Here is a 12,671-nt window from a genome sequence, read left to right as displayed (position 1 = left end):
GTCTAAAATTCTCTTTTTTTGTAGTGTCTCTGCCAGGCTTTGGTATCAGGATGATGCTGGCCTCATAAAATGAGTTAGGGAGGATTCCCTTTCTTTCTATTGATTGGAATAGTTTCAGAATATATGGTACCAGTTCCTCCTTGTACCTCTGGTAGAATTCAGCTGTGAATCCTTCTGGTCCTGGACTCTTTTTGGTTGGTAAGCTATTGATTATTGCCACAATTTCAGAGCCTGGTATTGGTCTATTCAGAGATTCAACTTCTTCCTGGTTTAGTCTTGGGAGGGTGTATGTGTCGAGGAATTTATCCATTTTTTCTAGATTTTCTAGTTTATTTGCATAGAGATGTTTGTAGTATTCTCTGATGGTAGTTTGTATTTCTGTGGGATCGGTGGTGATATCCCCTTTATCATTTTTTATTGCGTCTATTTGATGCTTCTTTTTTTCTTTATTAGTCTTGCTAGCAGTCTATCAATTTTGTTGATCCTTTCAAAAAACCTACTCCTGGATTCATTAATTTTTTGAAGGGTTTTTTGTGTCTCTATTTCCTTCTTAGTTATTTCTTGCCTTCTGCTAGCTTTTGAGTGTGTTTGCTCTTGCTTTTCTAGTCCTTTCAGTTGTGATGTTAGGGTGTCAATTTTGGATCTTTCCTGCTTTCTCTTGTGGGCATTTAGTACTATAAATTTCCCTCTACACACTGCTTTGAATGCGTCCCAGAGATTCTGGTATGTTGTATCTTTGTTCTCGTTGGTTTCAAAGAACATCTTTATTTCTGCCTTCATTTTGTTATGTATCCAGTAGTCATTCAGGAGCAGGTTGTTCAGTTTCCATGTAGTTGAGCGGTTTTGAGTGAGATTCTTAATCCTGAGTTCTAGTTTGATTGCACTGTGGTCTGAGAGATAGTTTGTTATAATCTCTGTTCTATTACATTTGCTGAGGAGAGCTTTACTTCCAAGTATGTGGTCAATTTTGGAATAGGTGTGGTGTGGTGCTGAAAAAAATGTATATTCTGTTCATTTGGGGTGGAGAGTTCTGTAGATGTCTATTAGGTCCGCTTGGTGCAGAGCTGAGTTCAATTCCTGGGTATCCTTGTTGACTTTCTGTCTCGTTGATCTGTCTAATGTTGACAGTGGGGTGTCAAAGTCTCCCGTTATTAATGTGTGGGAGTCTAAGTCTCTTTGTAGGTCACTCAGGACTTGTTTTATGAATCTGGGTGCTCCTGTATTGGGTGCATATATATTTAGGATAGTTAGCTCCTCTTGTTGAATTGATCCCTTTACCATTATGTAATGGCCTTCTTTGTCTCTTTTGATCTTTGTTGGTTTAAAGTCTGTTTTATCGGAGACTAGGATTGCAACCCCTGCCTTTTTTTGCTTTCCATTTGCTTGGTAGATTTTCCTCCATCCTTTTATTTTGAGCCTATATGTGTCTCTGCAGGTGAGATGGGTTTCCTGAATACAGCACATTGATGGGTCTTGACTCTTTATCCAATTTGCCAGTCTGTGTCTTTTAATTGGAGCATTTAGTCCATTTACATTTAAAGTTAATATTGTTATGTGTGAATTTGATCCTGTCATTATGATGTTAGCTGGTGATTTTGCTCGTTAGTTGATGCAGTTTCTTCCTAGTCTCGATGGTCTTTACATTTTGGCATGATTTTGCAGCGGCTGGTACCGGTTGTTCCTTTCCATGTTTAGCACTTCCTTCAGGAGCTCTTTTAGGGCAGGCCTGGTGGTGACAGAATCTCTCAGCATTTGCTTGTTGGTAAGTATTTTATTTCTCCTTCACTTATGAAGCTCAGTTTGGCTGGATATGAAATTCTGGGTTGAAAATTCTTTTCTTTAAGAATGTTGAATATTGGCCCCCACTCTCTTCTGGCTTGTAGGGTTTCTGCCGAGAGATCCGCTGTTAGTCTGATGGGCTTCCCTTTGAGGGTAACCCGACCTTTCTCTCTGGCTGCCCTTAACATTTTTTCCTTCATTTCAACTTTGGTGAATCCGACAATTATGTGTCTTGGAGTTGCTCTTCTCGAGGAGTATCTTTGTGGCGTTCTCTGTATTTCCTGAATCTGAACGTTGGCCTGCCTTGCTAGATTGGGGAAGTTCTCCTGGATAATATCCTGCAGAGTGTTTTCCAACTTGGTTCCATTCTCCCCATCACTTTCAGGTACACCAATCAGACGTAGATTTGGTCTTTTCACGTAGTCCCATATTTCTTGGAGGCTTTGCTCATTTCTTTTTATTCTTTTTTCTCTAAACTTCCCTTCTCACTTCATTTCATTCATTTCATCTTCCATTGCTGATACCCTTTCTTCCAGTTGATCACATCGGCTCCTGAGGCTTCTGCATTCTTCAAGTAGCTCTCGAGCCTTGGTTTTCAGCTCCATCAGCTCCTTTAAGCACTTCTCTGTATTGGTTATTCTAGTTATACATTCTTCTAAATTTTTTTCAAAGTTTTCAACTTCTTTGCCTTTGGTTTGAATGTCCTCCCGTAGCTCAGAGTAATTTGATCGTCTGAAGCCTTCTTCTCTCAGCTCATCAAAGTCATTCTCCATCCAGCTTTGTTCCATTGCTGGTGAGGAACTGCGTTCCTTTGGAGGAGGAGAGGCGCTCTGCTTTTTAGAGTTTCCAGTTTTTCTGTTCTGTTTTTTCCCTATCTTTGTGGTTTTATCTACTTTTGGTCTTTGATGATGGTGATGTACAGATGGGTTTTTGGTGTGGATGTCCTTTCTGTTTGTTAGTTTTCCTTCTAACAGACAGGACCCTCAGCTGCAGGTCTGTTGGAATACCCTGCCGTGTGAGGTGTCAGTGTGCCCCTGCTGGGGGGTGCCTCCCAGTTAGGCTGCTCGGGGGTCAGGGGTCAGGGACCCACTTGAGGAGGCAGTCTGCCCATTCTCAGATCTCCAGCTGTGTGCTGGGAGAACCACTGCTCTCTTCAAAGCTGTCAGACAGGGACATTTAAGTCTGCAGAGGTTACTGCTGTCTTTTTGTTTGTGTGTGCCCTGCCCCCAGAGGTGGAGCCTACAGAAGCAGGCAGGCCTCCTTGAGCTGTGATGGGCTCCACCCAGTTCGAGCTTCCTGGCTGCTTTGTTTACCTAATCAAGCCTGGGCAATGGCGGGCGCCCCTCCCCCAGCCTCGTTGCCGCCTTGCAGTTTGATCTCAGACTGCTGTGTTAGCAATCAGCGAGACTCCGTGGGCATAGGAACCTCCGAGCCAGGTGCGGGATGTAATCTCGTGGTGCACCGTTTTTTAAGCCAGTCCGAAAAGCGCAATATTCGGGTGGGAGTGACCCAATTTTCCAGGTGCGTCCGTCACCCCTTTCTTTGACTCGGAAAGGGAACTCCCTGACCCCTTGCGCTTCCCAAGTGAGGCAATGCCTCTCCCTGCTTCGGCTCGCACACGGTGCGCGCACCCACTGACCTGTGCCCACTGTCTGGCACTCCCTAGTGAGATGAACCCGGTACCTCAGATGGAAATGCAGAAATCACCTGTCTTCTGCGTCACTCAAGCTGGGAGCTGTAGACCGGAGCTGTTCCTATGCGGCCATCTTGGCTCCTCCCCAGAATATGGCCTTTTTAAGGTAAGTCATTTCTAATCTATATATAGGCAGTGATTTAAAATTTTAATTTTTACCTAAACAAAGATGTTAATTGTACCTGATTTTAATTATATTGGGAGTCACTTAGACATGCATTCTCTGTGAAAGAAAAAATCAATAATTTGGGAAACATTTTCATTTCTGTAGTTTCTATCATGTAAGTGGAGGATCCCAGTAAGTTTGGAGGACCAAAAGTATCTTCTCATGTTCCCTGTAATTCAGTCTTATTTTCTTTCTCATCATTTGTTTGGTTTCTGGTTTTTTTTTTTTCTTTTAGCCTTGTTGATTGACAATTTATTTTCTTTTAATTTCTTGACACTTCTGTGGCATTGCAGGAAAAAGATTGTGTGTGTGTGTGTGTGTGTGTGTGTGTGTGTGTGTGTGTGTGGTGTGTCTGTTTCCCAGTAATCATATCACTCATAATATTTGGCACAAGTGTCCTAAAGGACACATGCTTTATAGCAAGCCAAAGTAGTTTTTATTTTAACAGAAAACATTCAAACAAAACTGGACAAAATATCTCAATCTTACATGTCCCTTGTCAGTTGAAGGACCAATATGTTTCCCTGAGGCATTTTTACTCCATTGTTTCAGGTTAGGGCTAAAATCCAATGGCACATTTCATACTATGTGGAAGATACTAGTCTCATAACATCTATATGATTTTGATTAATATTGTTAAGAAAAAATGACTAAGGACTTTCACAGAGTAAATATTTAGTAACCTTTTAAACAGATGACTAAAGGTACCATGCTGTAAATACAGAAAGAGCCATTCTAAATATTGCATTTTATTTACTTATCATACACAGACTAGAAGAACCAATACCAAAAATATATAGGTTTGCCAAAAGTATTTCATTTCTTCATTTCTTATGGATGTTTTTGGATAAAAGTACTAAGAGAATCAAAACACATTTCACGCCAGTCTCCATTTAAGGATAAAACTATTTCAAAAAAGGTGATAGGAAACAAGACATAAAATCTCTAAAAGCATTTATCAACATTGAGGCTACAAAATACAGAGAAGGGGATTTTTATAGTTGGTAGTTGGTACATTCATGAGTCCTACCCCAGTACCCTTAAGAACGAGGGATGGGGGTTGCTTCATTATTTGCCATTTGGAGAACTTAAAATACGCTCCTTGCAGTTTGGAGATGCAGTGGCCTGGCTACTGACTTTTGCCTGAAAAGCTGATACGGCAAATGTGGGCTGGTTTCTTGCTTTGAAGCTGCACAAAAAGAGGTGCAGCTGTGGGGCAGCAGAGTCCACAAGGGCAAAGAGTATATAAATGTTTTCCATGCACAAGACTGTAGGGCCAGGGTCATCTTACATCCTGTTTGAGATGGTTCCTTGAAAGGGAAACAAAAACAAAAACAAAAACCTCGAGAAAAAATAAAGAAGTTGAGGGATGGACAAGATGAGAAAAAAAGTCACTGTCCTGAAGAGATATTCATTTGCTTTGTCCAGGGAACTGCAGCAGAGAAAACCTCAGGGATAGGGTGAGAAAGAGCCATTCCCCCTGGGTCATCACACTAACATCGATGAATTCAGACTTTTTGCACCCTCTCCTTATCCATTCTTTTGGCCCATACTTCACATTTAGAGGAGGTCAGAAAATACCCATGAGGGAATGTCTAAAAAAGTAGAGGGGATAAATGAAGGAGGAAAATACAAACTGGAACTCACATTTGAAATTTTTATTCTACATAGGACTGGACATTTTAAATTTTGAATTGTGACTCAAATTCAAAGTACTAGAGGACTTTTACCATCTTAAGAATGATGATCAACTCATGGAATCTGGGTGAGTTTTCATCCAAAAGGAAGGGACTAAAATAACTCCACATAGTGTATTTTAAGTACAAAAGGAAATAGAAATAAAATTGCTTGTGATTTCCCCTACAAGTACAACCAGTTCAATTACATTGAGAATTCAAGAGCTGATGCACTTATTAGTAACCAATAAGTCAAAATTAAAAACAGAATTGGTAGTGACTCATCAGGTAACAAAGAACTAAAGAGGAAGTTTTAGCTACAATTACTTGAAGGGTTTTTTTTCCCTTTCTCCCATTCATTTTTCTTTCTCTTCATAGTTTATTTCTATCTCGGAAGAGGAATATTCTGCTTTATGTCAGTCAACAATACATTTCAGAGAATCAGATGTTCTGTGCCAAAATGTTAACTGGGTACCTATTTCGTAATGTGTAAAAAAAAAAAAAAAAAAAAAAAGATTACGATACATTACATGTCAATTCCAAATTCCAAAAGTTGATTTATCATAAAATTGATGAAACTTAACCTTCAAAGTCCTTCACTTGCAGGAACCCCTTCCAAGATCCTGGGAAGAAACTAGTAATGCATATTTGTAATGTTCATAAATGTAAGATAATTTTATATTATTTTAGTTAAAGGAGACCCCCTCAAATATTACAAGCTGCAGCTCCTACAAAACCTAGACTCATTCTAATAGAACAATCAACTTATTTCCTACATGTAAATAAAATATGGAAAACCCCTATATAGAAGGATGCTTGGATGTGAAATGATTAAACGTTGTTTCCTGATTGTCAAACAATTCATATAATTAGTGCAACAGTTGTTTTTGTGTATAGAAATATCTATTCTACTATTTTTTTCGTTTACTTGTTTTCTTATTCATAATTTCCTTAATACTTTCTTTTTAAAAAAAAAAACTTTTACTTCATGTTCAGTGGTACATATGCAGCTTTGCCTTATAGGTAAACTGCATGTCTCAGGGGTTTGGTGTACAGATTATTTCATCACCCAGGTAATAAGCATAGTGCCCAATAGGTAGCTTTTTGATACTCTCCCTCCTTCCATCCTTCACCCTCAAGTAGACCCTAGTGTCTGTTTTTCCTTCTTTGTGTCTATGTGTTATTGTTTATGTCCCACTTATAAGTGAGAAGATGTGGTATTTGTTTTTCACTTCCTGAATTAGTTTGCTTAGGATAATGGCCTTCAGCTCCAGCCAAGTTCCTGGAAAAGACATGGTCTTATTCTTTTTATGGCTGCATAGTATTCCATGGTGTATATGTACCACATTTTCTTTATCCAGTCTACCGCTGATGGGCATTTAGGTTGATTGCATGTGTGACTAGTGCTGCAATAAACATATGTGTGCATGTGTCTTTATGATAGAATGATTTATATTCCTGTGGGTATATACTCAATAATGAAATTGCTGGGTCAAATGATAATTCTGTTTTAAGTGCTTTGAGAAATCTTCACACTACTTTATATAATGGCTGAACTAATTACATTCCCACCAGCAGTGTATAAGCATTCCCTTTCCTCTGTCACCTCGCCAGCATCTGCTCTTTGACAAGGTCAACAAAAACACGCAATGTAGAAAGGACTCCCTATTTAACAAACGGTGCTGGGATAACTGGCAAGCCATATGCAGACGATTGAAATTGGACCCCTACCTTTCCCCATACAATCAACACAAGATGCATTAATTTCTAAATGTAAAACCTAAAACTATTAAAACCCTAGAAGATAACCCAGAAAATACCATTCTACACATTAGACCTGGCTAAGATTTCATAACAATAATGCCAAAGGCAATTGCAACAAAAAAGAAAGTGGACAATTGGTACCTAATTAAACTAAGAAGCATCTGCACAGCCAAAGAAACTATCAGTAGAGTAAACAGGCTACATAATGGGAGAAAATATTTGCAAACTATGCATCCAACAAAGGTGTAATATCCAGAATCTGTAAGGAACTTAAACAAATTTACAAGCACAAAATAACCCAGTTAAAAAGTAGGCAAAGGACATGAACAGACACTTTTCAAAAGAAGACACACATGTGGCCAGCAAGCATGAAAAAATGCTCACATCACTAGCCATTAGAGAATTGGCAATCAAAACCACAATGAGGTATCATCTCACACCAGTCAGAAAGGCTATTATTATTATTATTATTTTTATTAGAGATGGAGTCTTGCTCTATCGCTCAGGCTGGAGTGCAGTGGCTCGATCTCAGCTCATTGCAACCTCCACCTCCCAGGTTCAAGATATTCTCCTGCCTCAGTCTCTCAAGCAGGTGGGATTACAAGTGCATGCCACCCATGGCCCAGCTTATTTTTGTATTTTTAGTAGAGATGGGGTTTTGCCATGTTGCCCAGGCTGGCCTCGAACTCCTGACCTCAAGTGATCTGCCTGCCTCAGCCTCCCAAAGTGCTGGGATTACAGATGGGAGCCACCACGCCCAGCCAGCTATTATTAAAAAGTCAAAATAATACTTTCTTGATTTGAGGAGGGTGTTTATTGTATAATACTCGGTTAAACTTTGAAAGGCATTCTGGAAACACCTCGGGACAAGTGCACTAGGCACAGAATAGCTCACAATGAGTATGACACTGCGATGGCTCTTAGAACCAGAAATATCCCCAGTACATGTCTCCTTTGTTGATGCATGCTGCTTTTTTCAAAATAGCTACATGTGATTGTCATGTCTTACTAATTATAATTAAAATGTATCTTGAGTACTTACTGTACACTGTTTTCTCAAAAATGATTGTGTTTTGGCCTGGCACAGTGGCTCATGCCTGTAATCCCAGTACATTGGGAGGCCTAGGCAGGAGGATTGCCTGAAGCTAGGAGTTCAAGACCAGCATGAACAACAATGTGAGACCCCATCTCTACTAAAAATATTTAAAATTAGCTGGGTATGTTGGTGCAGGCCCATAGTCCCAACTACTCAGGAGGCTGAGGCAGGAGGATTGCTTGAGCCCAAGAGTTCAAGGCTGCAGTGAGCAATGATCACACTACTGCACTACAGCCTGAGTGACCCTGCCTTTAAAAAAAAAAATGATTGCATTTTGTTTTCCAAATGCAAATATAAAATTTCCTATGTAAACATCAGCTATAAATGTATTGACAGTTAATGCATCATATAAAGTTTAAATAAGAACAAAAAAACACTCTACTGGGAACAGTGTAATGGAGAGATAGATGTTGGGAGAATTTACCTTACTTTTCAAAATTGCCTTGCAGTTGAACCTCTAAGGCATCACTAAATAACAATAGTGACAACAATAAAAATAATAACAATAATAGCCAATGTTTGGCTTAACTAAACCTTCTCAAGCACGATTTCATTTAATCTTTTAAACAATCCAATAAAATAAGTATCATTATATCTATTTTAGAGATGAAAGAACTAAGAGGTTCAGTAATTTATTCAAGGTGACACAGCTCATATGTGACAGAGTCAGAAGTCCACTGCATTTAGTTCAATTTTTCAACAACTATTTAGAGAGCATCTCCTCGACACAAGACATGCCAGTTTGTTTTGCTTAAATTTTATATCATACAACATTCACTACAGAGATTTACTTCTCTGTCTTACAAAATTTGCACATAAGTTTTGTGTCAAAAACTTTTTCTTTGTAAATAATAGGTTGTTGGCATCGACCTTGCATTTCTGATGGTAGCAAAAACCATCACAAACTTTCTGCAGAACAGTATGAGAATATTTGGTGAAATTAAGCATGTGAATACCACATGATACAAAACTCATGCTCTTGGCTATACATAATGGGAACTATGTATCACTTAGAATAAATGAACTAGTTATATACACAACTATATGAATACATCAAAACTTAGTATTGAGTAAAGCAATAAAGAAAGCAAAGATTACAGCACAATATCACATATATAATTACACATAAAACTGGAAGAAAATATTAACTTCAGAAACACTGGACATTTTTCAAGAATATGCACAAATTCAAAGAACTTAAACTGACCTCATTATATGGTTACAAAAGAAGGGATGGGAAATAGGTACTGGGATAAAATAAGGAAGAAATTGTACATGATGTGGTGATGACAATGTTTCACAAATTAAGAAATATTAATAATTCAAATAATTGACCTGAGTTCCTGGGAATTTTGATTCAATGTTATGATCCAGAAAGTCCATGCCTGAGATCAAACACCACTCAAGAGTTGGAATACAAAGCAAAATAAATTCAGCATTGCATCCTCAGAGCAATGAATCACCAAAGACAGTCCCCTCCAGTCAGTAGTCATCACTGAGCTCACTTTATCAAGTTATTTATTCAAGTAAGAACATTTAATTAAATTCTCACTAGAATAGCTAGAAGTCATAAAAAACAAAGGTGTACTCATAACAAACCAGTGTATTGAAGTATAGCTTGCCTATCCTTATAATTTAGTTAAAATAGAATTTCTCAATGTGGCTTGCTATAAAGCAGAATTCAAGAGGTCTCCTGTAGTATTAATGTCTGATAAACAGTGTGTGATTCTCTTCCTCAATATTTCTTTCTTTCTGTCTCTTTGTTTCGGTCTCTGTATATATATTACTGATTTTAATTAAAATATAAACATTCTTAAAAAATAATTATTTGATTATCTTCCATTAATAATTAATGATAGAGAATGTTTACAATTGCCACATGCCAGATGTTGCTGTGTGCCCTATTAAGGAGTTTAAATGAGATACTTAATTCTCAGTTTACTCAGGTTGATACTATTTTCATCACCAGATATCACATACCAGCACAGACTTCCCTGGTAGGTGATACATGGCATATTTAAAAAACTTATATTCTAGAAGTTGATAATATAGTTACATGAACCAAGTGCTGAAATCATCTCATATTGATGATTCAACCCATTTTCTCTGTATATGGCTTCTTTGTTAATTTTTCTTCTATTGTATTGACCAGGTCTCTCTCCTTTATCTCCCTGTATTTCCCGGTGCAATACCACCAACATCATATTCACCTCTACACTGCATTGTATTTTTCTGTTTATGCCTGTCTTTACCATTAGACTGTGGGGTTATCTGAGATGGAAACTATCTCTTGAATACCTTTATCGTGAAGAAAAATAATGTAGTAAGCTCTTGTCTACTATATTTTTTAAAAGTAAGAAGGGGGATACAATTGATATCTTCAAGATACATTCTCATCTAGAATGTATCTAAATAAGTAGCTAGTGCATCAACTAGGTGAAATAGACCTTAACTTTATTTTCATTCACCTGAGGATATGTGAATGCACAAAACCTCATATATTTATAGAAGTCTATTAGAAAAACACATTTCAGTAGCAGCATTTTAGTTCAAATTGGTTTCTTTAGATGCAAATTATCAGGGGCCGGCAGTCTCATCATAGCTGAGTATTAGTGCTTGGTGAGTTTGTATGCTCTCACTTTTGGAAAGGGAATACTTTTCAGGTATGAAAACCCTATTTCCAAAAGCCCAAGTGGATTGGTTGTGTGAAAGAGATAACCCTGCAGCTGCTTAGTCAGTGGTAATGCAGCCATCATTCCTCTCAAAATGCAAGGTATAATAAAAAGCTGCAAATGTAGAGTGTAATATTCAGCCAAGGCTTCATGAAACACAATTCCTACTGCATTAATATCCAAGCCCAGTTTTCTATCGGGAACTTGGTGCTATGAAGAGTGCCAATTCATTTCCTATTAAGAAAGGCATCATGGATACAGCCAAACAATAGCTTGTTTAAGTCTCCTTCAGGACTAGCAATTACCTGTATCCTTGAAAAATAGAAGGAACGGCATGTGGAGGGTCAGCAAGAGTGGACAGCTGGTCAATCCTCTGGGCTGGAACTACATAAAGGCTCAGCACTGCTGTTTAAATGTGGAGTGTCATTAAATTGGCATTTAATTGAACACTATAAGCAATGTCACTAGTACAACTATGTTGTTAATGATTAACCCTAAAGTAATCAGATGCTGTCTTCTGGTGACTTCTTAAAATGTCACTTACCCAAGGGCTGTCCAGGGGGAACTAAAGAAGATACCAATGCTACAAAGGAAGAAAATCTACCTGTATAAACTTACAACCTTACTTCTTACTTGTCTCACTTGTAACGGCATTGGTACAGAGTCTACATAATTTCACTTTCAACGACTTGCTAAATCAGTAATTAAAATACAAATAAAATCCAAAGATATTTGAAATTCTACAATTATTTACTTTGAATTTGATTTATCTTTGATAAAAATACATTGATGATTTGAGATACCCGTTAAATTTTAAAGTAACCTTGAATGGCAGCTACAGACTTTGGGCTATCTCTGCCTGCAATGCCTACTCCCTAATCACTCACAATCCCTTCTATAGCTGCTAACCCTGAGGTTACATATGTGTTTCCCAAAATATACACGCATTTGCATCAATAATTTTGCTTTATATTTGTTTGTCCATTTGTTAAATAGGGGGGTTTTATGTGAAATGTTTGATGACCCCAATTTTGACCAGAAAACAAAACAGTATTCAGAGAAAAGGTTTCGATCCATGTGGATGTGGGTGTGTGAGCAAGAGGAAAGTGTGATGAGTCAGAAGGTGAAAGCCAAGGATAAGGGGAATTAAAAGCAAGAGAAAGATGGCTTAAAGACAGGCTGAATATCTCTGGGGAGCTGGTTCAGGAAAATTTCTGAGTGAATGAGAAACACACTGTAGACATTTAAGATAGGCAGAATGTCTCCAAAGAGCCAGATCAGGAGAATTTCTGATTGAGGGAGACACAGTAATCAGCTTAATATATCAGACAACCTTCTGGTTATTTCAGGAAAAGACCAAATTTTATGTCTAGAAAACCGTCTAAAATTGATGTTGCCATGTCCTTTTTATCCAAGAGAACTGAGAAAGATTGCTGTGGAGTGATGTCAATCACTTTCAACTTATCGAGTAAATACTGATTGCTTACTTTGTGCCAAGTATTGGACTAAACACTAGAGGTACAATTATGGACATTGTCCTTAAGGAGCTTATACTTTGTTGAAAGAAGCAGGTGATGGCAAGACCTTTTGCACATTTTTAAATAAGAAAAAAATAAGCACAGGGTGCTTGGGGGCACAAGGGAGGAATGTCTGTGTTAGTCTAAAGAGAACAATTCTTCTTATGGGAGTGACATCCAAAGGGAGACTAGAAGGAGGAATCAGGAATCTGCCAGCTGGCAGGGAATGGGATAGAGATGAGGGGCAGAAGAGTTTTCTAATCAAAGCCCTAGAGACAAAGACACTAGTGATAAAATACAGAAGACCA

At 38.1% G+C, this 12,671-nt stretch overlaps 1 long non-coding RNA gene across 1 annotated transcript in view, besides 2 other annotated features; it reads right to left on the bottom strand.

The window, feature by feature from the left end:
• Positions 1-12,671, bottom strand: part of LINC02465 (long intergenic non-protein coding RNA 2465) — a 183,750-nt gene that overhangs the window by 97,904 nt on the left and 73,175 nt on the right. The gene's annotated exons all lie outside the window — the stretch shown is intronic.
• Positions 2,729-3,297: an enhancer, noted in NCBI's record as "NANOG-H3K27ac-H3K4me1 hESC enhancer chr4:130775323-130775891 (GRCh37/hg19 assembly coordinates)". NCBI's record gives its function as "activates a minimal SCP1, AML or CMV promoter by ChIP-STARR-seq in naive H9 embryonic stem cells {active_cell/tissue: H9 hESC(naive)}" and the evidence as "EXISTENCE:reporter gene assay evidence [ECO:0000049][PMID:30033119]".
• Positions 3,298-3,866: an enhancer, noted in NCBI's record as "NANOG-H3K27ac-H3K4me1 hESC enhancer chr4:130774754-130775322 (GRCh37/hg19 assembly coordinates)". NCBI's record gives its function as "activates a minimal SCP1, AML or CMV promoter by ChIP-STARR-seq in naive H9 embryonic stem cells {active_cell/tissue: H9 hESC(naive)}" and the evidence as "EXISTENCE:reporter gene assay evidence [ECO:0000049][PMID:30033119]".

Source organism: Homo sapiens, chromosome 4 (assembly GCF_000001405.40).
Source record: "Homo sapiens chromosome 4, GRCh38.p14 Primary Assembly".
NCBI lineage: Eukaryota > Metazoa > Chordata > Mammalia > Primates > Hominidae > Homo > Homo sapiens.
The sequence above is the reverse complement of the archived record's forward strand: the minus strand, read 5'-3'. Positions and strand labels throughout refer to the sequence as shown.